General features: G+C 46.2%; 2 annotated features.

Annotated features, from left to right (window-relative positions):
• Positions 22,676-23,569: a transcriptional cis regulatory region, noted in NCBI's record as "candidate enhancer chr1.3775 targeted for multiplex CRISPR interference". NCBI's record gives its function as "positively regulates LIN28A gene expression in K562 cells {active_cell/tissue: K562}" and the evidence as "EXISTENCE:mutant phenotype evidence [ECO:0000015][PMID:30612741]".
• Positions 23,144-23,353: an enhancer, noted in NCBI's record as "active region_500". NCBI's record gives its function as "activates an Ori minimal core promoter by ATAC-STARR-seq in GM12878 lymphoblastoid cells {active_cell/tissue: GM12878}" and the evidence as "EXISTENCE:reporter gene assay evidence [ECO:0000049][PMID:35858748]".

Raw genomic sequence — 26,599 nt, 5'->3', positions numbered from 1 at the left:
CACCTGAGGTCACGAGTTTGAGACCAGCCTGTCCAACATGATGAAACCCTGTCTCTACTACAAATACAAAAATTAGCTGGGCGTAGTGGTACACACCTGTAGTCCCAGCTACTCAGGAAGCTGAGGCAGGAGAATCGCTTTAACTTGGGAGGCAGAGGTTGCAGTGAGCAGAGATTGCACCCCTGCACCCCAGCCTGGGCAACAGAGTGAGACCTTGTCTCAAAAAAAAAAAAAAAAAAGAGGCTTAGGTAGGCTGAGTGGGTGATTCATGCCTGTAATCACAGCACTTTGGGGGTCAAGGTGGGAGTGGGAGGATCCCTTGAGGCCAGGAGTTTGAGGTTACAGTGAGGTGTGATGCATTCTAGCCTAGGCAACAGAGTGAGACCTTGTCTGTTTAAAAAAAAAGAGAGAGAGAAAGAAAAAGAGGTGGCCGGGTGCGGTGGCTCACGCCTGTAATCCCAGCACTTTGGGAGGCCAAGGCAGGCGGATCACGAGGTCAGGAGATCAAGACCATCCTGGCTAACACGGTGAAACCCTGTCTGTACTAAAAATACAAAAAATCAGCTGGGTGTGGTGGCAGGCGCCTGCAGTCCCAGCTACTCGGGAGGCTGAGGCAGGAGAATGGGGTGAACCTGGGAGGTAGAGCTTGCAGTGAGCCGGGATTGCGCCACTGCACTCCAGCCTGTCCAGCCTGGGCGACAGAGCGAGATTCTGTCTCAAAAAAAAAAAAAAAAAAGAAACGAAAAAGAGGCTTAGGAGTTACTATTTTCAGACATTGTCTTTCATCCATTCCATTTTGTAAATGTGAAAACAAGATCTAAAATCCAAGTAACTTGTTCAAGTTCCCATAGCTAGTAAATAACAATAACTAGGTTTCTGGCCTCCTTGTATACTCCTTTCAATCAGAGTATATAGGTTCAAACTGACATTTCTGGTGGGGCGTGGTGGCTCACGCCTGTAATCCTAGCACTTTGGGAGGATGAGGCAGGAGGATCCCTTGAGCCTAGGAGTCCAAGACCAGCCTAGGCAACACAGGGAGACCTTGTCTCTATAAAATAATAATAATAAAATTAAAAATTAAAAAATTCACATCTCTCCCCTGTCTGTTTGGTGGGGAGAAAACTAGTGGAGAAGACAGACATATAACTAGACAAATGCATCAGACTGTGGCTGGGACATAACAGCATACAATGGAATCAGTGAAAGCTAACATATGGGATGTTATGGGAGGCTTTATAGATGAGGTGGCATTGGGTTAGACCTTGTATACGATTTTGAAAGCCAGAGTGGGCAGGGCATTCCAGAATAAAGGAACAGTTGAAACAAAAGCAGGGAGGCTTAAAAGAACAGCTTGTGGGCCGGGCGCGGTGGTTTACGCCTGTAATCCCAGCACTTTGGGAGGCCAAGGTGGGTGGATCACGAGGTCAGGAGATGGAGATCATCCTGGCTAACATGGTGAAACCCTGTCTCTACTAAAAAATACAACAAAAATTAGCCAGGCGTGGTGGTGTGCGCCTGTAGTCTCAGCTACTCAGGAGGCTGAGGCAGGAGAATGGCATGAACCTGGGAGGTGGAGCTTGCAGTGAGCCGAGATTGTGCCACTGCACTCCAGCGTGGGTGACAGAGAAAGACTCTTTCTCGAAAAAATATATATGTATATATTATATATATAATTATATATACAATTATATATTAATATATATAATTATATATACAATTATATATTAATATATATATAATTATATATACAATTATATATTAATATATACAATTATATATAATTATATTATATATAATTATATAATACATACATAATTTATATAATTATATATGTATAATACATTATATATTAATATATAATATATAATATAATTATATATTAATATATAATATATAATATAATTATATATTATATATATTATATATATAAATTAGCTGGGAGTGGTGGCAGACGCCTGTAGTTCCAGCTACTCGGGAGGCTGAGGCAGGAGAATCGCTTGAACCCGGGAGGTGGAGGTTGCCGTTAGCCGAGATCACGCCATTGCACTCCAGCCTGGGTGACAGAGCAAGACGCTATCTCAAAAAAAAAAAAAAAAGAAAAAGAACAGCTTGTGGCCAGGCTTGGTGGCTCACACCTGCAATCCTAGCAATTTGGGAGGCTGAGGCAGGTGGATCACTTGAGCCCAGGAGTTCCAGATCAGCCTGGGCAACATGGCGAAATCCCATCCCTACAAAAAATACAAAAATTATCTGGGCATGGTGGCATGTGCTTGTAGTCCCAGCTACTCAGGAGGCTAAGGTGGGAGGGTCACCTGAGTCTGGGAGGTCGAGGATACAGTGAGTAGTGATTGCACTGGAACAGCTTGCCTGAGGAACAACTGCTGCAAAGTTTGGTTCTCACATCAGCAAATCCTCCACGTCCCTGGGAACATATATAGAGACCTTCATTCATTCAATCTTCAATGATACATTCATTCAACATTTTGTCAATAATAGAGATAGAATGGTATGGTATGGTAAGAAAGTTCTGGTTTCCAATCCCAGCTTTGTCACTAACTCACTGTGTGGGGCCTTGAGCAAATCTCTTCCTCTCTGGGTGTCAGTTTCCCATCTGTCAAACGGAAGAATGGATATATGATCTCTACACTCTCTTGGTGCTCACTGCGTTTGCGACGTTTACAGATGGAGAATAGGACAAAAGGTGTAGAAGTACCCCTGATTCCCATCCTTTCTTCTTTTTTTAAATTTTTTATTATACTTTAAGTTCTAGGGTACATGTGCACAACGTGCAGATTTGTTACATAGGTATACATGTGCCATGTTGGTTTGCTGCACCCATCAACTCGTCATTTACATTAGGTATTTCTCTTAATGCTATCCCTCCCCCTGCCCCCCACACCCCCATACTTTCTTCTTTTAGAGTAAGGATTGAAAATAACATTTGTGGCTGGGCACGGTGGCTCACACCTGTAATCCCGGCACTTTGGGAGGCCAAGAAGGGCAGATCATGAGGTCAGATCAGGACCATCCTGACTAACACGGTGAAACCTCGTCTCTACTTAAAATAGACACAAAAAAACTTAGCCGGGTGTGGTGGCAGGCACCTGTAATCTCAGCTACTTGGGAGGCTGAGGCAGGAGAATGGCGTGAACCCAGGAGGCGGAGCTTGAAGTGAGCTGAGATTGCGCCACTGCACTCCAGCCTGGGCCACAGAGCGAGACTCTGTCTCAAAAAAAAAAAAAAAAGAAAAGAAAAAAAAGAGAAAATAACATTTGTGGGCTGGCTACAGTGGCTCATGCCTGAAATCCCAACACTTTGGGAGGCCCAGGCAGGCAGATCACTTGAGCCCAGGAGTTTGAGACCAGCCTGGGCAAGATGGTGAAACCTTGTCTTTACAAAAAATTAAAAAATCAGCCAGGTGTGGTGGCACATGCCTATAGTCCCTGCTACTCGGGAGGCTGAGGTGGGAGGATCTCTTGAGCCCAGGGGGGTAAAGGTTGCAGTGAGCTGAGATGGCGCCACTGCACTCCAGCCTGGGTGACAAAGAGAGACCCTGTCTCAAATAAATAAATAGTATAGAAAATAACATCTGCCAACTTCTGCTATGTGTTGGACACAGCTTCCTCCAACTATCTTGTGAGTTAGGTGTTACTCTCCCCATTTAACAGGAGAGAAAACTGAAGTTCAGAGTGTTTGAATAACTTCTTCAAATTTCCCCAGCAAGTGACAACAATAAAATATAGATAGTCCCTGACTTACAATGGTTTAATCTACCATTTTTTGACTTTATGATGGAGCAAAAATGATACCTATTCAGTAGAAACTGTACTTTGAGTACCCATGCAGTCATTCTGTTTTTCACTTTCAGTCCAGTATTCAGTAAGTTAAGTGAGATAGTCAATTTATTATAAAATGGGCTCTGTGAATGGCCGGGCGCGGTGGCTCACGCTTGTAATCCCAGCACTTTGGGAGGCCGAGGTGGGCAGATCATGAGGTCGGGAGATCGAGACCATCCTGGCTAACACGGTGAAACCCTGTCTCTACTAAAAATACAAAAAATTAGCCAGGCGTAGTGGCGGGCGACTGTAGTCCCAGCTACTCGGGAGGCTGAGGCAGGAGAATGGCGTGAACCTGGAAGGCGGAGCTTGCAGTGAACGGAGATCCCACCACTGCACTCCAGCCTGGGTGACAGAGCAAGACCCTGTGTCAAAAAAATAAATAAATAAATAAAATGGGCTCTGTGTTAGATGATTTTGCCCAACTGTAGACTAATGTAAATGTTTTCAGCATGTTAATAGCTAAAATGTATGAGTGCCTACTATGTGACAGACATTGAACCTAGGCCCTACCTTAGCTCATGTAATCCCCCCGCAAAACTTCCTGATGCGGGAATTATTGTCTCCATTTTTATTTTATTTTATTTTATCTTATTTTGAGATGGAGTTTCACTCTTGTTGCCCAGGCTGGAGTGCAATGGCATGATCTCAGCTCACCGCAACCTCTGCCTCCTGGGTTCAAGCGATTCTCCTCTCTCAGCCTCCCGAGTAGCTAGGATTACAGGCATGCACCACCACACCCAGCTAATTTTGTATTTTTAGTAGAGACAAGGTTTCTCCATGTTGGTCAGGCTGGCCTCAAACTCCCAACCTCAGGTGATCCGCCTGCCTCAGCCTCCCAAAGTGTTGGGATTACAGGCGTGAGCTACCCCGCCCGGCCTATTGTCTCCTTTTTTTTTTTTTTTTTTTTTTTTTTTTGAGACGGAGTCTTGCTCTGTTGCCCAGGCTGGAGTGCAGTGGCGCGATCTCAGCTCACTGCAAGCTCCGCCTCCCAGGTTCACGCCGTTCTCCTGCCTCAGCCTCCCGAGTAGCTAGGACTGCAGGTTCCCGCCACCTCGCAAGGGTAATTTTTTTTGTATTTTTTAGTGGAGACGGGGTTTCACCGTGTTAGCCAGGATGGTCTGGATCTCCTGACCTCGTGATCTGCCCGCCTCGGCTTCCCAAAGTGCTGGGATTACAGGCGTGAGCCACCGCGCCCGGCCTATTGTCTCCATTTTTAAAATGAGAAAGCAGAGTCTCAGAGATTAAACAATTTGCTCATGGTAACTGACAGGAAGTGACCCATCCAGGTCAGTCCCATGCTGCAGTTCATGCTCCTAACCACTAGGGCACACTGCATTTCAGCAATGGCATCTGAGATGACACCAAACTCTACATAAACCATGCCGGACTTGGCTGGGCGCGGTGGCTCACGCCTGTAATCCCAGCACTTTGGGAGGCCAAGGCGGGCGGATCACGAGGTCAGGAGATCAAGACCATCCTGGCTAACACGGTGAAACTCCGTCTCTACTAAAAATACAAAAAATTAGCCAGGCGTGGTGGCGGGAGCCTGTAGTCCCAGCTACTCGGGAGGCTGAGGCAGGAGAATGGTGTGAACCCGGGAGGTGGAGGTGGCAGTGAGCCGAGATCGCGCCACTGCACTCCAGCTTGGGCCACAGAGCGAGACTGTGTCTAAAAAAAAAAAAAAAAAAAAGAAGAAGCCATGCCGGACTCAAGGCCTCCAAATGATAGGAGTCTGTCCCTTCCCTCTCCTTATCACTGGGTCCCTGTGGTTCAGCCATCGAGGAAGGATGACAGAAAGACAGATGCATGGAGCTGTCCATTTTCCGTTCCAGCCTCTCCTGAATGCAAGCAGCATCGTGAGGTTCTGAAAAGAGCCTCCACTCCTGTTCTATTAAAGGAGAGGGAATGGAACAAAGGGAATGGACATTCCAAGATCCTTGATTCCAAGACTCTCAAAGTCAAATAGACCTTGCAGATCAGCTGACCCTCTCCCATACTCCAAGCTTGACACCAGCCATTGTCCAGATCAGCTTGCAAACTTCCAGCAACAGGGAACTTACTGCTGTGAATGCCTTGCCCATCCACAGATAGTTGGGATTGTTAGAAAGTTCTTTCTTCTGCCTGTGTGCAGTGGTTCACACCTGTAATCCCAGCACTTTGAGAGGCCGTGGCAGGAGGATCGCCTGAGGTCAGGAATTCGAGACCAGCCTGGGCAACATGGTGAAACCCCATCTCTACTAAAAATACAAATAAATAAATAAATAAATAAATAAATAAATAAAAATAAAAATAAATAAAAATAAAAATAAAATTAGCCAAACGTGGTGGCTCATGCCTGTAATCCCAGCTACTGGGGAGGCCGAGGAAGGAGAATTGCTTGAACCTGGGAGGCGGAGGTTGCAGTGAGCCAAGATCGTGCCACTGCCCTCCAGCCTGGGCAACAGAGCGAGACTCCACCTCAAAAAATAAATAAATAAAAATAAGAAGTTATTTCTTCCATTGAATTCAACCTAGTCTCTATAGCTTCTATCCACTGGGGTCCTTAGAACAAGTCCCCTTCCTCTTTTGCAAAGACTCTGGGGTCATGTTTTATGTTCAAACTCCAGTCCTCATCTTCTCTAGTTTTGTGACCTAAGGTTTTTAAAGGCTCAATGTCTCAATCTTGGTTAATTTTCCACTGTTTTTCTGGAAGTTAGCCCAAAGCCAGATTTACCCAGCTTGATCCTCAGTGATCCACAGCTCTTTTCTAGTGTCTGTGTACTACTTTGTACAGTGCTTTTCAGACCACAAAGTATTTTCCCATTCATTATATCACTAGACCCTGGAAAACAAGGCGGCCAGAAAAAGAGGGAGATTAGGTGGGCACATTGTTATCGCATTTTTGCAGAGGAGGCAGATCTCTGCCCCCAGTACCAGTCTTACTGCCAACTGTACTCCTTGTCCTTCCCCTTCTCACTTCTGTCACAATGCACGCTCTAGGGCCTCCAATAGCTTGATTCTCTTTCTCCTTAGGGTTTCTCCATGATTACCCCTCTGCCTGAAGCACCATTTCCCTTACTTTCACTTTGCTGATCACTATTAATTCTCTTTTATTTTTATTTTTGAGACGGAGTCTTGCTCTGTCTCCTGGGCTGGTGGGCAGTGGCGCGATCACAGCTCACTGCAGCATCTGCCTCCTGGGTTCAAGCAATCCTCCCACCTCAGCCACCCAAGTAGCTGGGATTACAGGCATGTGCCACCACACCTGGCTAATTTTTGTATTTTTAGTAGAGATGGGGTTTCACCATGTTTGCCAGGCTGGTCTCAAACTCTTGATGTTGTGATCCGCCTGCCTCGGCCTCCCAAAGTGCTGGGATTACAGGCATGAGCCACTGTGCCTGGCCCTATTCTCTGTTTTTTTAATTAAAAACATATTTTTATAAAGATGAGGTCTCCTTATGTTGCCCAGGTTGGCCTTGAACTGCTGGCCTCAACCAATCCTCCTCCCTCCCAAAGCACTGGGATTATAGGTGTGAGCCATGGCTCCCAGTCCCTTCCCCATTTTTTTTTTTTTTTTTCAGTTTTTTTTGAGATGGAGTCTAGCTCTGTTGCCCAGGCTGGAGTGTGGTGGTGTGATACCAGCTCACTGCAAACTCTGCCTCCTGGATTCAAGCAATTCTCCTGCCTCAGTCTCCCAAGTAGCTGGGATTACAGGCGCCTGCCACCATGACTGGCTAATTTTTGTATTTTTAGTAGACATGAGGTTTCACCATGTTGGTCAGGCTGGTCTCGAACTCCTGACCTCAGGTGATCCCCCCCCGCCTCGGCCTCCCAAAATTGCTGGGATTACAGGTGTGAGTCCCAGCCCCTGGCCCCCTTTCCCATTTTTTATAGTGCTCTACACATCTGTGACAGAGCATTTGTCCCACTGTATTATATATATTTGCTTATTTGTCTTTCTTTCCCACTGACCACTACAATGTAAACCCCATAAGCCAGGGACTATGTTTTGTTCATTGTGTCAGTATGCAGCACAAAGCTTGGGATAACGTAATTGCTTATTAAATGTTTGTTGAATTAATAAATGCATGACTTGCCCCAGTTTCCACAGTTAATAATGGCCAAAATTAGAATGCAGATTTTATTTCCAAGTCCAAGAATTTGTTTTTACCATCTCCCGAACCTAACCTAGTTCTTACTCCTAACCCCTGCTGTCAGGCCTGTCCCCTCTAATTCCTCAGAATCTTAGGTCACTTATCCGGAAAGGAACTTAGAGCTCATCTGATTCAATCCCTTCATTTATAGATAAGGGAACTAAGACTCATAGAAGGTAAATGCTTTGTCAAGGCTACACAGCAAAAATTGTTGCCATCCTTTCTTCCTGACAACCAGATTGGTGTTTTTTTTAATGGGATTCACCAAAGAGTTCATGGACTCCCAGGGCTTTGTCTTGGGGACGGGGGTAGTAGTAAATAAATAATTCCATCTAAGGCTCTCCTTTTATACTCCCTAGACACCCCAAAGGCTAGACACCCAAGAGTCTATTCTGAGACATCCCATCAGGCAGAAATTTCAAGCAAGACAGGATAGAGGGGTGTGGGAGTGTGTGTGTGTGTGTGTGTGTATAGGATCATGGGGCACTAAGGATGCAGACGTGAAAACTGGGCTGCAGCACAGCCCCTCTGTTGTGGGGTCCCTCGAGTCTCCCACCATGGCAACACCACTCCCTCTGCCCCTGAAGCTGACCTTTGGGGCCAGAGATCAATAACTTGGACTTTGGCTTCAGTCCCCTTTGGCCCCCCAGTGACCATAGGCTGCCCAGAAGAGCTAGTGGGACTCAGAGTCATTAAGTAACTGTCACTCTTCCCCAGCCCCATTTTGGGGCATGGCTGGGGGAGGGGCCAGGGATGGGAACTATATGGAGAGTCACAGGTGTGGTCTGGTTCTTCCCATCCTCACTGGAAGAGAAGTGACCTCTATCTCTCTTTGACCCCCACCCACTTCTTTTTACCCTCGGCCAAGAGGCTTCCTCCTGCCCTCTCTACTCCTCCATGTCCTTAGCACTGAGCCCTGACTCCCCTCACAGAACCCCCGTGCTCCTCACCATGTTCCTCTTAGTCCAATCTTTTATGAACCCCCTCCTCCCATTGTGCTCACACTTTATATAAACTGGAGGTATTTTACCCTTTTGTCAGCCAAGACAGTAGTCAGAGGCCGGGTGCGGTGGCTCACTCCTATAATTCCAGCACTTTGGGAGGCGGAGGCAGGTGGATCACCAGAGGTCAGGAGTTCGAGACCAGTCTGGCTACCATGGTGAAACCCCATCTCTACTAAAAATACAAAAAATTTGCCAGGCTTGGTGGCAGGCACCTGTAATCCCAGCTATTTGGGAGACTGAGGCAGGAGAATCACTTGAGCCCGGGAGGTGGAGGTGGCAGTGAGCCAAGATTGCCCCATTGCACTCTAGCCTTGGCAACAAGAGCAAGACTACATCTCAAAAAAAAAAAAAAAAAAAGACAGTAGTCAGGAATTTCTCATTCACCTTTTTCTAAATACCTCATCCCAGGTATCTTCTCACCAACTATTCTCCTCCAGAGAAATCCACTGTTCTGCCATACTTTTAGCGGGATCCTGTTTCAGAAACACACTCACCTACCCCACCACCACCCCACCAACTTTCCTTGCTCTTCACCCACCAGTCCTCGTCCACCTCCACCCCAGTGTCCCAGCCAATCACTACTGATTGATTGATTTGGGAGGAGGGGGAAAGAGGATCGATGGAGGACTCTGGGCCTATTCTTATTCAAAGCAAAAGGTTTAAGAGGGGGTGGATATTCATTGTGGAGAGGATGCAGAAATCGCTGTGGCGCTCCACAGCCTTGCTGATGTGGTCTGCAGCGTGGGGGAGGGTGGGTCAGGCCACTGGGGGTGGGGACGGATGCTCTGAAGGCTGGGAGGACAGTGGTGTGGGGGCTGATAGAGGTAAGAAGAAGGCATGCATCAGCAGTCTGGGCATAAGGTGAGGTTCCCCAACTCTGCCCCTCAGGGAGGAAATTTATGACCGAGAGTCATTCTTCCCAGCTCAGAGAGGATGCCCTGGGTACTCTCAATGTCCAGCAGGGGACACCCTTACCCCACATGACCCCTTTCCTCATCCACCATCACTAAGTTCCGTTGTTCATTCATTCATTCATACATTGAAACGTTGTTTGAGTGCCACTATGTGCCAGACACCATGCCACAGACTGGAAAAATACAGGCATGAACAAGATAGATACACAGACAAATGAGGTTCCAGGCCTTGTGGCACCAGCAGGGCAGGATTACAGTGAACAAATAGTTATAGTGATTTAATTTAAGGGAAAGGAGATCAGAAAAAAGCTTTCCTCAGAAACTGATTTTGAAACAGAGACTTAACAGATGCCTAAATCTTGACCAAAGAAAATGTGAAAAAGAGGTAAAGGGGGGGCGTTTGTATGTGTGTGCATGTGTTGAGAGTGTGTTTCAGGCAGAGGGAACAATTTATACAGACCTTGAAGCAGAGAAGATCAAGGTTCCTTTAGAGGGATGAACAGAGAAACCTGTGCACAGCTGGATTCAGCTTTGGTTGGAGGTTTAACCCTTTAAATTGTAGAATGCATGCATGTGGACACACACACAGACACACACACACACGTGCACACACACAGCCGGGGCCTCCATTTCCCAAGGCGCAATTTTCCTGGTAATCACTTTTTTTTTTTTAAAGAGAAGGCAAGGACAGAGAGCCAGCAGACCTCTGAGGCCTTTCCAAAGTAATCAAACTCAAAACCTGTCTTCCAGGAATGAGTGGAACAGAGGTAGATTTAGCTTAAGCTTCAGGGCTTCTCCTTGGGAGGAGTTAAGTAATGTGTGCAAATGATTTTTTTTTTTTTTTGAGGTGGAGTCTGACTCTGTCATCCAGGCTGGAGTGCAGTGGCACGATCTCGGCTCACTGCAACCTCCATCTCCCGGGTTCACGCCATTATCCTACATCGGCCTCCCGAGTAGCTGGGACTATAGGCGCCCACCACCATGCCCGGCTGATTTTTTGTATTTTTAGTAGAGATGGGGTTTGACCATGTTAGCCAGGATGGTCTCGATCTCCTGACCTGGTAATCTGCCCGCCTCAGCCTCCCAAAGTGCTGGGATTACATGCGTGAGCCACCGTACCCGGCCTTTTTTTTTTTTTTTTTTTTTGATATGGAGTTTCGCTCTTCTGCCCAGGCTGGAGTGAAGTGGCAAAATCTCAGCTCACTGCAACCTCCGTACCCCAGGTTCAAGTGATTCTCCTGCCTCAGCCTCCCAAGTAGCTGGGATTATAGGTGCCTGCTACCACGACCGGCTAATTTTTGTATTTTTAGTAGAGACAGGGTTTCACCATGTTGGCCAGGCTGGTCTTGAACTCTTGATCTTAAATGATCCGTCTGCATTAGCCTCCCAAAGTACTGGGATTACAGGCATGAGCCACCATGCCCGGTCAATCTAATATTAATAGAAGGCACAGAGCCCACCCTGTGGGGGCCTCCTCATCTCAAGGTGAGACCAGGACTCAACCAGGGGAACCCCTGGTCAGATGGGAAAGACACAGAACCTGCTCTCTGAGAATCTGATCCCCTGACCTTCTCAATACTAACCTTGGCTGGGAGTGGTGGTACGTACCTGCAGCCCCAGCTATGCAGGAGGCTGAGGTGGGAGGATTGCTTGAGCCTGGGAGGTTGAGGTTGCAGTATGCTGTGATTGCATCACTGTACTCCAACCTGGATGACAGAGCAAGACCCTGTCTCAAAACAAAACAAAACAAAACAAAACAAAACAAAAATCACTAACCCTGCCCCTTCCTCCTCATTCTGCTCCTAGATGCCCCTCCAAAACTGGCTGGCCCTTCAGGCCCTGAGGCTGTCCTCCTCTGTGCAGGAGGCCTTGTACCAGGCTATGTTTCTTCAAAGCCCCTCCTTCCCTCAGCCTGTGGGGGTTTCCTGGAAACAGAGTGGTGGTGGTGAGAGTCTGCTTCAAAGTAGCCACCAGTCTGCCCCTCAGAGGTTACTTTGGAAGGTGATACCTTCCCCTTACCCACCACCCTCTCAAAGCCTGACCCCTCACTGGCACACAGAGCTGCTGTGACGGCTAGCTCGAGGGAAACCGCAAAACCAGAGGCTGAGCCCCCCAACTGCTCAGGGAACGCCAGGGGTAGAGGGTGGTGGGGAACAAGGTCCCTGCTTGGCAAACCCAAGTGGGCACAAGGTAAGTGTGCAGGAGCAGGAGGCTCTGGTGTTACAAAAGCAGCCCCAGGCCCACAGAATCCTCTGCCCAAGAGTCTGTCTCTGAGGGGACATTGAACAGCACACAGGTGCCCCTCTTCCTTGCACTCATTTTAAGATGTGGAAACTAAGGAAGTGACTTGAAGACACTTCCAGAGCAAGCTAGTGACAGAATGAGGCTAGAATCCAGATCTCCCAGTTCTGTCCGGTATCTTCTTTCTGCAATCCCAAAGGTCCCTTCACGAGGAATCCAGGACTTTCCAAACCCATGGCCCAGTCATGGCACTGGACTGTAATGCATGACTGACTTGTCTCTTTCATCACAGCTCAGGGGCCCCTTGAGGGCAGGGACCCTGTTTCCCTCTCCTTTATATCCTTTGCCCCCAGCATGGGGTCCGGCCCCTGTTTGAGACTTAGGACACATTTGTTCACCACACAAATCGACAAAATGAATGGAGTGATTTCGGCTGTGAGCTTCTGGTTGTTGACTCATTCATTGCACATGTTTTGTCAGACAGCACCCATGTATGTGAGACTGTGTGGGGGTGTGGATGTGGGTAAATAAATGCTCAGGCTCTTTTTCTGCCCTGTAAGACGATATAATCTGGAAGGAAATGGCAGGAGAGGGGACAGGAGGGGAAAATAGCCATCTGTTGAATAGTAGTTAGGCCCTGAGTAAATTCGTTATGTGGGTGACCTCTCCAACAAGGTGGGTATTAGCAACCCTATTTCACAGGTGCAGAAAGAGGTTCATAGAGGCTCAATAGCCTGCCCAAGGTAGGCTGTGGCTGATGGGGCTTAGAAGTCATCCAGGCCTCATACCCTTCCCACTGTCATCATGACATAGAGTAGAATAGACCTGAGGAGGTGTCTGTCTGTACTGAGGGCTGGGGACCCTCAGAGGTAGGATAGCTTGCTGAATTGGGCTCTAAGAGGCTTTTACAGGGAGGAAGTTGCCCAGTGAACCTTAAAGATGAGGTCACTGATGAGATGGGGATTGGAGATCCTCTCCAAGGGTATGAAAACCCTGGGGCCCTGGGAGAGCGTCCTTGGAGTGCTCTGCAGCTGGCAGGTGGACAGGAGAGGGTGGATTCATGGTCCAGACTCTTTGCTAGATCACGTGCTTCTTTTTTTTTTCTTTGAGACAGAGTTTCACTCTTGTTGCCCAGGCTGGAGTGCAATCTCAGCTCACTGCAGCCTCCGCCTCCTGGGTTCAAGCGATCCTCCTGCCTCAGCCTCCTGAGTAGCTGGGATTACAGGCATGTGCCACCACGCTGGCTAATTTTTTGTGTTTTTAGTCGAGACGGTGTTTCACCATGTTGCCCAGGTTCGTCTTGAACTTCTGACCTCAGGTGATCCACCCGCCTCGGCCTCCCAAAGTGCTGGGATTACAGGCGTAAGCCACCATGCCCAGCTGTTGATCACGTGCTTCTTTAAGAAGCCTCTGGGCCCAGTTCCTCCTGCAGCCCTGTGGCACCAACCACACCTCTTGTTTTTGGTCAATGTCAGTCAAGTAAATGGATCTTTCTCTCCTGACTCCTTGGGTGAGCAATCAGGATTGGCAGATCTTGGCCCCATCCTAGCAAAGAAACTGCTGCCTTCCAATCCCTCCTTGTGGTACCCAAATTGCCCCAATTTTCTGGGGTGGTGGCCCATCCAATCCAGGGGGTTGCTCATTGAGATGCTTTCTCATTGAAAGGAGGATGCCAACTCTTTCCCCAAGCTGAAAGGAAAATGAATCATGGGCTAAAAGTAACAAGTCCAAGTACAGAGCACTGATACAAGGGCTCACGCTCTGGAATCAGACCAATGTGGCTTCAAATCCATTCTCTGTTTGGCGTAGTGGCTCACACCTGTAATCTTAGCACTGTGGGAGGCTGAAGTGGGAGGATCGATTTGAGTCCAGGAGGTCGAGGTTACAGTGAGTTATGATTGCATCACTGCAGTGACTCATGCCTATAATCCCAGCACTTGGGAGGCCGAGGCGGGTCAATCACCTGAGGTCAGAAATTTGAGACCAGCCTGGTGAACATGGTGAAACCCCGTCTCTACTAAAAATACCAAAATTAGCTGGGTGTGGTGCCAGGTGCCTGTAATCCCAGCTACTGGGGAGGCTGAGACAGGAAAATCGCTTGAACCCGGGAGGCAGAGGTTGCAGTGAGCCGAGATCGTGCCATTGCACTCCAGCCTGGGTGACAAGAGTGAAATTCCATCTCAAAAAAGAAAAAAAAAAAAAATCCACTGGGCATAGTGACACACGCCTGTAGTCCCAGACACCAGGGAGGCTGAGGTGGGAGGATGGCTTGAGCCCAAGAGGTCGAGGCACCAGCGAGCCATAATTGTGCCACTGCACTCCAGCCTGGGAGACAGAGTGAGATTCTGTCTCAAAAAGAATTTTTTTTTTGTTAGGAGGCTAGATCTTATGTTATGTGTTCTTACCACAAAACAACAACAATAATAACAACAGCACGAGGAAGCCTTTGGAGGTGACGAATTTGTTTATTACCTTGAATGTAGTGATGGTTTTGCAAGTATATGCATATGTCCATACCCATCAAGCTGTACACATTAAATATGAGCAATTTTTTGTATATCTATTATACTCCATTAAAGTTTTGTTTTGTTTTTTTGAGATGGAATCTTGCTCTTGTCGCTCAGGTTGGAGTGCAGTGGTGCGATCTCTACTCACTGCAACCTCTGCCTCCAGGGTTCAAGTGATTCTCCTGCCTCAACCTCCCGAGTAACTGGGATTACAGGTGCCCTCCACCACGTCCGGTTAATTTTTGTATTTTTAGTAGAGATGGGGTTTTGCCATGTTGGCCAGGCTAGTCTCGAACTCCTGACCTCAGGTGATCTGCCTGCCTCGGCCTCCCAAAGTGCTGGGGTTACAGGCATGAGCCACTGCACCCAGGCTGAAGCAACTTTTAAAAACAACTTTATTAGCCGGACGTAGTGGTGGATGCCTGTAATCCCAGCTACTCGGGAGGCTGAGGCAGGAGAATCGCTCGAACCCAGGAGGCAGAGGTTGCCGTGAGTCAAGATCACGCCATTGCACTCCAGCCTGGGCAACAGAGTGAGACTCCATCTCAAAAACAAGAAAAAAAAAGTTGCTTCAAATCCTTACCCTAAGACTTCTGCTGACACTGCTGCAGAAATGGCTTTGATCCGAAGCCTTTAACCTCTTTTCTTCCACCTTCCAAATCTCACCCAAATGTATCTAGATTAGCAGATCCACATTCACATCCAGAGCCCCAGCTGCAAGGGGAGTCTGGGAAACGTAGTTTTTCACTTTCCATCTGTGCAGTCCGGGAAGCCACGCTAGGAGGAGGAAGGAATGTTGAGTGCCAAACCACCATTTCTGCCACTGTAGAGCCTGTGGCTTTTCATCGAATTACCTGACCCAGGGTCTGCTTTTTGTGTGGGGGATGCTGACATATAGGTTTTGGTGGAAACTTCAGCTGTTCCCTCATTTCTTAGAGCTCCCATTCGAGCAGGAGGCGTTTATGGGGAACCCTAGGAAGGCAGTCAAGTGTAAGGAGAGCAGGAATATTCCTCTATTTCTCTCTTTCTCTCTCTACCTTTCTTTAACGGCTTTATTAAGATATAATACACCTATTATACAATTCATTTATTTAAAGTGTACAATTCAATAGATTTTAGTCTAGTCATAGAGTTGTGCAACTATCACCACAATTTATTTTAGAACATCTTCATCATGCTAAATAATGCAGTCTCCATTCCCCTCCCCCGCCAACCCACATCCTCTGGCAACAACCACTAATCCACTTTCTGTCTCTATGGATTTCCCTATTCCGTACATTTCTTTTCTTTTTCTTTTTTTCTTCTGTTTTTTTTTTTTTTTTTTGAGATGGAGTCTCCCTCTGTCGCCCAGGCTGGAGTGCAGTGGCGCGATCTCGGCTCACTGCAAGCTCCGCCTCCCAGGTTTACGCCATTCTCCTGCCTCATCCTCCCTAGCAGCTGGGACTACAGGAGCCCGCCACCATGCCCGGCTAATTTTTTGTATTTTTAGTAGAGACGGGGTTTCACCGTGTTAGCCAGGATGGCCTATTCTGTACATTTCATATAAATAGAACTACATAATATGTTGCCTTTGTGTCTGGCTTCTTTCACTTAACATAAAGGTTTTCACTGTTGATTCATGTTGTAACATGTATCAATACTTTTTTTTTTTTTTGAGACAGGGTCTCACTCTGTTGCCCAGGCTGGAGTGCAGTGGCATGATCATAGCTCACTGCAGCCTCAACCTTCCGGGCTCCAGCCACCCTCCCACCTCAGCCTCCCAAGTAACTGGGACTACAGGTGTGTGCCACCACACTTGGCTAATTTTAAAATTTGTTTGTAGAGACAGGGTCTCACTATGTTGCCTAGGCTTGTCTGAAACTTGGGCACAGCAATCCTCCTGCCTCGGCATAGGCATGAATGGATAAATTGTATTGCATACATATAATGGAATATTCATCCATAAACAGGAATAAAGTATTGATACATGCTGCAACGTGGAGAAACTCCAAAACATTATGCTAAAGCAAATAAACCAGACACAAAAAGTCACAATTGTATGCAATTGTATGATTCTTTTTTTTTTTTTTTTGAGACAAGAGTTTTACTCTTGTTGCCCAGGCTGGAGTGCAATGGCGCGATCTCGGCTCACTGGAACCTCTGCCTCCTGGGTTCAAGCGATTCTCCCGCCTCAGCCTCCCGAGTAGCTGGGATTACAAGCCATGGCTCCCAGCCATTTAACCTTTTTTTTTCCCCAGAGACGGGGTCTTGCTCTGTCACCCAGGCCGGAGTGCAGTGGCACAGTCATAACTCACTGTATCCTCAAACTCCTGGGGCTTAAGTGATCCTCCCACCTCTGTCTCCCGAGTAGATGGGACTACAGGCACATGACACTGCACTCTGCTAATTTTAAAATTTTTCGGTAGCGATGAAGTCTCACTTTGTTGCCTCGGCAGGTTTCAAACTTCTGACTTCAAGCAATTCTCTTGCCTTGACCTTCTGAAGTGCTGGGATTACAGGCACTCGGCCTCTGTTTAGTTTTTTGAGGAATTGCCCATCTGTTTTCCATAGTGACTGTACCATTTTATATTTCTACCAGCAATGTATAAGGGTTCCAATTTCTCTGTAATCTCGCTAACATTTGTGTTTTTTTCTGTTTTGGTTTCTTTTGTGCAATTGTAGTCATCTAGTAGGTGTGAAATGGTATCTCGCTGTGGTTTCCACTTGCATTTTCCTGATGGTTAGTGATGGTGAGCATCTTCTTATGTACTTATTGACCAATTGTATATCTTCTTCAGAGAAATGTCTGTTCAGATCCTTTGCCCATTTTTAAATTTGGTTGTTTGTCTTTTATTATTGAGTTGCAAGAGTTATTTTTATATTCTGAATACAAGTTTCTTATCAGATATGATTTGAAAATATTTTATCTCATTCTGTGGGTTGTCTTTTCACATTCTTTTTCAAAAAATAATTTATTTAGGGGAAATTAATATAACTTAAAAGCAACCATTTTAGGGCTGGGCAAGGTGGTTCATGCCTGCAATCCCAGCACTTTGGGAGACCAAGGCAGGAGGATTGCTTGAGCTCAGGAGTTTAAGATCAGCCTGGGTAACATAGCAAGACATTGTTTCTACTAAAAATAAAAAAAGAAATTACCCTGGTGTGGTGGTGCATGCCTACAGTCCCAGCTACTCAGGAGGCTGAGGTGGGAGAATTGCTTGAGCCCAGGAGGTTGAGGCTGCAGGCAGCCATGATTGTGCCACCGCACTCCAGCCTGGGTGACAAAGGGAGACCCCATCTCAAAAAAAAAAAAAACAAAAACAAAATTAGCCAGGCACGGTGGCTCAAGCCTATAATCCCAGCACTTTGGGAGACTGAGATGGGTGGATCACCTGAGGTCAGGAGTTCGAGACCAGCCTGACCAACATGCAGAAACCCTGTCTTTACTAAAAATACAAAATTAGCTGGGCGTGGTGGCGCTTGCCTGTAATCCCAGCTACTTGGGAGGCTGAGGCGGGAGAATCGCTGAACCCAGGAGGCGGAGGTTCCTGTGAGCCGAGATCGCGCCATTGCACTCCAGCCTGGGCAACAAGAATGAAACTCTATCTCAAAAAAAAAAAAAAAAAAAAAGAATCATACAATTGCATACAATTGTGACTTTTTGTGTGTCTGGTTTATTTGCTTTAGCATAATGTTTTGGAGTTTCTCCACGTTGCAGCATGTATCAATACTTTATTCCTGTTTATGGATGAATATTCCACTGTATGTATGCACTACAATTTATCCATTCATCTGTTGATGGACATATGGGCTGTTTCTACCTTTTGGGCTGTTTCAAATAATGTTGCTATGAACACGAATGCATATGTGCTTGTTTGAGTACCTGTTTCCAATTTTGGGTATATGCTAGAAGTGGAATATGCTAATTCTTTACCTTTGAGGCACCACCAAACTGTTTTGCCATAGCACTTGGACCATTTTGCATTTCCACCAACAATGTATGAGAGTTCCAATTTCTCTACATCCTTGCCAACAACACTTGCTTTTTCTTTTTTTTCAAGACAGAGTCTCTGTTGCCCAGTGCAGTGATGCAATCTCAGCTCACTGCAACCTCTGCCTCCTGGGTTCAAGCAATTCTCCTGCCTCAGCCTCCCAAGTAGCTGGTATTACAGGCGCATGCCACCACACCCAGCTAATTTTTTGTATGTTTAGCAGAGACGGGGTTTCACCGTGTTGGCCAGGCTGGTCTCGAACTCCTGACCTCGTGATCCACCTGCCTTGGCCTCCCAAAGTTCTAGGATTACAGGGGTGAGCCACCGCACCCGGCCACCAACAATGCTTATTTTCCTTTATTTTATTTATTTATTTATTTTATTTATTTGGTTTTTTTTGAGACAAAGTCTCGCTCAGTGAGCCACCATGCCTAGCCTATTTTATTTTTATTTTAAAAAATATATATACAGCTATCCTACACTTCCTTTGATTGAATCTTATGAAGCACAAAGGCTTTTAATTTTGGTGAAATCCAATTTTCCTACTTTATTTTTTGTTGCTTGTGCTTTTTGTGTTGTGTCTAATAAAGCTTTGTCTAACCCAAGGTCTGAAAGGTTTGCTCCCATATTTTCTCCTAAGAGTTTTGGAGTTTTAGCTCTTACATTTAGGTATACGATGCATTTTGAGTTTAGTTTTGTATATGATAAGAGAAACCGACACAACTTTTTTTTTTTTTTTTTTTTTTTTTTTTTTGTGATAGGGTCTTGCTTTGTTGCCCAGGCTAGAGTGCAGTGGCCCAACCACAGCTCACTGCAGCCTTGACCTCCCAGGCCCAAGTGATCCTCCCATCTCAGCTTCCCAAATAGCTGGGAGTACAGACGCACACCACCACGCCCGGCTAATTTTTGTATTTTTTTTTGTAGAGAAGAGGTTTTGCCATGTTATCCAGGCTGGTCTCAAACTCCTGAGCTCAAGCGAACCTTCTGCCTCAGCCTCCCAAAGTGCTGGAATTATAGGCATGAGCCACACTGCACCCAGCCAGGGATACAACTCTTTTTGTATGTAGGTATTCTGTTTTCTTAGCACCATTTGTTGGTTTTGTATCCTGCAACCTTGCATTAGTTTCAATAGGTTTCTGTGGATTCCTCAGGATTTTCTTTCTTTCTTTATGTTTTTTTGAGATGGAGTTTCACTCTTGTTGCTCAGGCTGGAGTGTAATGGCGTGATCTCGGCTCACTGCAACCTCTGCCTCCTGGGTTCAAGTAATTCTTCTGCCTCAGCCTCCCAAGTAGTTGGGATTACAGTCACCCGCCACCGTGCCCGGTAAATATTTGTATTTTTATTGCCATGTTGGCCAGGCTGGTCTTGAACTCCTGACCTCAGGTGATCCACCTGCCTCAGCCTCCCAAAGTGCTGGGATTACAGGCATGAGCCACCGAGCCGGGCCTCCTCAGGATTTTCTATGTACAAGATTATGTCCTCTGTATATACAAACAGTTTTACCTCTTAATTTCTAATCTGGGTGCCTTTTTTTTTCTTTTTTTTTTTTCTTTCTTTTTTTTTTTTTTTTTGCCTAGTAGCCGTGGCTAGAACCTTTAGGACAGTGTTGAATAGAAGTGGTAAGGGTGGATATGGTCTCATTCCTGATCTGAAGAGGAAAACAACTCACCTCTCATCCTAAATTCAATCTTAGCTGTGTGCTTTTTGTAGAAGCCTTTTATCAGGGTGAGGAAGTTCCCTATTCCCAGTTTGGTGAGTCGTCTTTTTTTTTTTTTTTGAAATAGAGTTTCACTCTCGTTATCCTGGCTGGAGTGCAATGGCACGATCTCAGCTCACCCCGCAACCTCCTCCTCCCGGGTTCAAACGATTTTCCTGCCTCAGCCTCCCAAGTAGCTGGGATTACAGGCATGCACCACCATGCCCAGCTAATTTTGTATTTTTAGTAGTGACAGGGTTTCTCCATGTTGGTCAGGCAGGTCTTGAACTCCCGACCTCAGGTGATCTACCGACCTTGACCTCCCAAAGTCCTGGGATTACAGGCGTGAGCCACTGCACCTGGCCTGGTGAGTGTATTTTATCCCAAAAAGGAGTGGTGGATTTCGTCAAATCGTTTTCCTGCACCTATTGAGATGATCATGTCCTTTATTCCACTGCCATAGTATATTATAGTAATTGATTTTTGCATGTTAAACCATTTCTGGGATAAAACTCACTCACTCATGATGTATAACCCTTTTTATATGTTGTTGAGTTCTGCTTGCTTCTATTTTGTTGTGGATTTTTGTATTTGTGCTCACAAGAGATATTAGTCTGTAGTTTTCTTATGATCTTTGTTTTTTTTTTTAATTTTTAAATTTTTTTTGTAGAGATGGGTTTCACCGTGTTGCCCAGGCTGGTCTTGAACTCCTGGGCTCAAGCAATCTTCCTGCCTCGGCCTCCCAAAGTGCTGGGATTACAGGTATGATCCACTGCAGCAAGCCTGTCATTGTTTTTTGATATCAGGGTAATATTGGTCTCATAGGATGAGTTGGGAAATGTTCTCTCCTCTTCTGTTTTTTGGAAGAGTTTGTGAAGATTTGACATTATTTAAGTGTTTAGTGAAAACAGTCAAGGCCATGGCTTTGGAGACAGCTAGAAATGTGGAAAGGTCTTAGGCTCTGGGACCTTGGGCAGAGGCTGCTGAATCTGACACACAGACCTATTCTGATTGGCATACACATTACTTTAAGACATTGGAGAGCCAGGCGCAGTGGCTCACGCCTGTAATCCCAGCACTTTGGGAAGCCGAGGCGGGTGGATCACCTGAGGTCAGGAGTTTGAGACCAGCCTGGCCAACATGGCAAAACCCCGTCTCTACTAAAAATAGAAAAATTGGCCGGGCGTGGTGGCACGTGCCTGTCTTCCCAGCTACTGGGGAGGCTGAGGCAGAAGAATCTCTTGAACCCGGGAGGCGGAGACCATCAAGCTTCCGATGATCATGCAACAAAGGCTCCAGCCAGTTCCAGGTGAAGACACCACCCCTGGCCATCAAGAAGCTACCCTGTCTCCACTAGACAGTACAGGGTGAGAGTTCCATGATCTCCAATAGGGAGATCATGCCACTGCACTCCAGCCTGGGTGACAGAGCAAGACTCTGTCTCAAAAAAAAAAAAAAAAAAAAAAAAAGACATTGGAGCCATTCTTTTAAAAAATATGGAGATTTCATGTACAACTCCTGATTTTCAGATTCTCTGGAAAAGTTGGAAGACTGGCAACACTGGCCCCTGATTATTCTGAGTAGTGGCTGATCTTTAAGAATGGACCATGCTCTCTGGTTTGCCTCAGTCCCAACCCTTCCCTGTTGGAAGCTTGAAACCAAGACTGAGTGTCAGGAAACAATTTTATCATACTTATTCTTGGATCACTTTATGTTAACTACATGGCCACTGTAGGCATTTGAGTTGATACTACCTGGTATACCCTTGCTGAGTCTTGTCTGCTCATCCATAAAATGGAGACATTAAAAATTCCTACCTTGGAGAGTTTTTTTTTTTTTTTTTTTTTTTTTTTGAGATAAAGTTTCACTCTGTTGCCCAGGCTGGAGTGCAGTGGCAGGCACAATCATGGCTCACTACAGCCTTGACCTCCAGGGCTCAAGCAATTCTCCTGCCTCAGCCTCCCAGGTAGCTGGAACTACAGGCCCATGCCATCATGCCTAGTTATTTTTTGTAGGGAAGGGGGTCTTGCTATGTTGCCCGGGCTGGTCTCAAACTCCTGGGCTCAAGCTATCCTCCCACCTTGGCCTCTCAAATTGTTTGGACTACAGGTGTGAGCCGCCATGCCTGGCCAACTTGGAGAATTTTGAGGACGATTAAATAAGATGATCATAAAGAGATTTGGCATGTAGGAGGCATTGAGTAAATTTACCTCCTGCTTTTTCCTGGCTGCATAGTATTCTGATGCATGGATGTACATAATATGTAGCTTTCCTCTAATGGTAGACATATAGGTGGACTTTAATTTTGCCCCGTTCCACACCAGGCTGGAAAGGACATACATGTACATGGTGGGCAGTTTTGCACAGTGGCTCAGATTACATTAGCTCTGCTGGATTTGAATCCAAGCAAGGTGACCTCTTGTCTCCTATTCTCTTGGAATGGTTGAGGATAAGTGGCATGACCTTGGATATCATTTGAAGATGCATCTGCAATTTTACCCACAGAAGGATTGGAAGGTCACAGATGGGTGCAGGGGAAGACGCAAGAGTGTCTGTAGGCCCCTTCTGCAAATGTAAGAGCAGGCACGCCTTAACTCAAGATCTCTTCCCCACCTTGGGGTGTGAAGCCAAGGGCCAACTCAAATGCATCTGACAGACTGACAGCTGGGCTGTCTGGGGAGATAAGCATGTGGGTGTCAGGCAGAGGGAGGGAGGTGTCAACCACAGAGCAGAGCCAGGCAAGAGCACTGTCAGCCCCACCCTCAGCTCTGCCTGTGGAGGCACACCCTACAGCTGCTTAACCTCTAAGCCAGTGACGTCCCAGATCCCTTCCTGACCTGGGGTCCTTACCTGGTGCCTCTCAAAAGTGTCCATGTGACAGAGGTCCTGGACCCATGTGCTGAGCTGACTGGGAAGTCAGCTGGCTGGCCTCAAGGTTGGAGGTGGCAATGGATATGGGTTGAAGAAGTTTTTAAGGTTTTCAGGGAGGAAGTGGGGCTTCTGGCTGTGGTTCCGTTGTCTCCCTTTCTTGGTGCATGAGTCAGCCAACCCCACCCCCAGTTCTACTTTGCTCCTCCAGCCCCTACCCTCCTAATAATAAGCTCAGATGTACATTACTTTCCATTTCACAACATCCAGCAAGCTTCTTGATAGCCGGAATGTAATTCCAAGGTCTGAGTCATATTTCTATGGGCTGTATTCCCAGAAAATAGTCCAATGCCTGACACATAGCTGGTAATTAATAAATATGTGAATTACTTTGGGAGGCTGTTTGAGGGCAGGAGTTTGAGACTAGCCTGGTCAGCACAGCCAGACCCTGTCTCTACCAAAATACAACAAGAAAGAAAGAAAGAAAGAAAGAAAGAAAGAAAGAAAGAAAGAAAGAAAGAAAGAAAGAAAGGAAGGAAGAAAGAAAAGGCAAATAAATATGTGAATGAATGACGTTCTTGCAGGGTACCAGATGCTAATTCTGCAGCTCGTTTCAAGATGGCCTCTGTTTGTCTTAATTTTTCTGGGAGCCCCTTCTACCAAACATATTTGTGGCACTTTTTACTTCTTCAAATGCCTGGAAAGTCTTCCCTAAGCTCTCCCTCACCTCTGGGACTTACAACCTCAACTTGGGTCATGTGTTTCTTTTAAAATTGTATATATTTAAGATCTACAACATGATGTTTTGATACACATATGCTCAGTAAAGTGATTACTACAGTCAAGCAATTTAACACATCCATCACCTCACAGTTACCTTTTGTGTGTGTGTGCGGTAAAAGTACCTAAAATTACTTTTAGCAAATGTCTACTATATAATATTACTAACTATAATCCTCATGCTGTATGTTACAGCTCTAGACTTATTCATTCTAAGTAACTGCAACTTTGTACCCTTTGACCTTCATCTCCCATTTCCCTTACACCCCAGGCCCCTGCCCCTGGTAAAGACCTTTCTACTCTCTGTTTCTATGCTTTCCACTTTGGGGTCATGTGGTGTTTTTTGGTTTTTTTTTTTTGAGACTGAGTTTTGCTCTTGTCTCCCAGGCTGGAGTGCAATGGCACGATCTCAGCTCACTGCAACCTCCGCCTCCTAGGTTCAAGCGATTCTCCTGCCTCAACCTCTCAAGTAGCTGGGATTACAGGCACCCACCACCATGCCCGGCTAATTTTCGTATTTTTAGTAGAGACAAAGTTTCACCATGTTGGCCAGGCTGGTCTTGAACTCCTGACCTCAGGTGATCCACCCGCCTCGGCCTCCCAAAGTGCTGGGATTACAGGCATGAGCCACGCCCAGCCAGGTCATCTGATCTTAAGTGAGTCATTTTCCTTATCTGAGTGTCAGTTTTCTTGCCTCTAAAATGGGAATAATGGCATTCATCTCCCAGAGTCACTCTGCTGATCCAGTGAGACAAAGCGTGTGGAATGGCTTTGCATGGTTCCTGGCATATAATGAGGGCTCCCATGCCAAGAGCTATTATTATTGTGGTGTGTGGATGGGGTAGGAGAAGACTGCATTGAATGAGAGCAATGATCCCCAACCAGGGAAGGGTCAATAAATAAAGCAAGAAAACTAAATGTAGTTAATCTCTCCAATTGTGCTGCCCAAATTTCGATCTTCCAAAATGGGTCAGGAATAACCATCAAAATTTTAACACTTTTAAGAAGCTGACTTGCAGATGCTTGCCTAACTAGGTAAAGGGTAATGTACAATATAGTCATCCACATTGGTCAAGTGCTTGCTTTGGGCCAGGCACCATCCTAAGGGCTTTACATGGATTATCTTGAGGAAACCTGGAAATAATTCTATGAGGCAAGTGCTATTATTATCTCCATTTGACAGATGAGGAAAGATGCACAGAGAGGTTAAGTGATTTGCCATAAGTTTACCCAGTTGGGATTAAATCCAGCAGAGCTCGTATTCTTAACCATTCCGCATACTGACTCTGTCTGGAGGTCTTTTCCAGCCTTGTGTAGAAAGGGGAAAATTGGATCCCACCCGTATGTCCACCAACAGGGGAAGGCTACATATTAAGCACAACCCTGCAATGGAACATTATATAGTCAGGAAAAAGCAGGAGGCAGATAGGTATGTTCAGGGCATGAAATGATGCCCACAATGGATTATTAGAAAACCCAGAAGAGACTGGGCATGGTGGCTCCCAAAGTGTAATCCAGCACTTTGGGAGGCCAAGGTGGGTGGATCACTTGAGGTCAGGAGTTTGAGACCAGCCTGGCCAATGTGGTGAAACCCCGTCTCTACTAAAAATACAAAAAAATTAACTGGGCTTGGTGGCGCATGCCTGTAGTCCCAGCTTGAACAGGAGAATTGCTTGAACCCAGGAGGCAGAGGTTGCTAGTGAGCCAAGATCACACCACTGTACTCCAACCTGGGAGGCAGAGTCAGATTCTGTCTCAAAAAAAAAAAAAAAGAAAAGAAAAGAAAAGAAAACCCGGAAGAGCAATGTGCATCAATATATTCCCATGTTTGTATAAAACACAATTTAGCCTTTCAGCCCCTATGCTCAGGCCCACTCCAACACTGTGGAGTGTACTTTATTTTCAATAAATCCCTTCATTTCTTCGTTGCTTTGTTTCTGCTTTTTGTCCAATTCTTTGTTCAAGATGCCAAGAACCTGGACACCCCCCACCAGTGACATATTTTGGCCAGCCAGCCCGGAGGAAGGGCCGCTCAGGGAAAGAGAGCCCAGAAACCTGGCATACCAGCAAAAGGAGGCCATCAAGCTTCAGATGATCATGCAACAAAGGCTCCAGCCAGTCCAGGTGAAGACACCACCCCTGGCCATCAAGAAGCTACCCTGCCTCCACTAGACAGAACAAGGTGAGGGTTCCATGATCCCCAATAAGTAGGGACTACGCCCCATGCCAGCATGAAGCAGTCCCAGGAAAAAGACCATCGGTCCCTCTGCCTCCCGTGAAGATTTACGGGGACCACAATCACATCTCTTAGCGGGGAGATGAGGCAGGAAAATAGGGGCTGGAGGCAGGAAACATAAGGCCAATTCACACTTCAGCTCTGACAGGAAATAGCTTCTCCCTGAGTACATGACATTGTAACTTTACTTCATTCTCTTCATTTACATAGGGCGTACCACAAGCAGAAGGTATTTAAACTCTCAAAAACTCTGTAATGGGGCCTTTGAGCCCCTATGCTCAGGCCTGCTCCCACACTGCAGAGTGTACTTTCATTTTCAATAAGTCACTTCATTCCTTAGGAAAAAAAAAAGCAATTAAAAAAATCAATTTACCTGTTTGTTGGTTCATAGAAAAATGTCTGGAAGGGT

Source organism: Homo sapiens, chromosome 1, assembly GCF_000001405.40.
Source record: "Homo sapiens chromosome 1, GRCh38.p14 Primary Assembly".
Classification (NCBI taxonomy): domain Eukaryota; kingdom Metazoa; phylum Chordata; class Mammalia; order Primates; family Hominidae; genus Homo; species Homo sapiens.
Note: the sequence above shows the minus strand (reverse complement) of the source record. Positions and strands in the feature narration are given on the sequence as shown.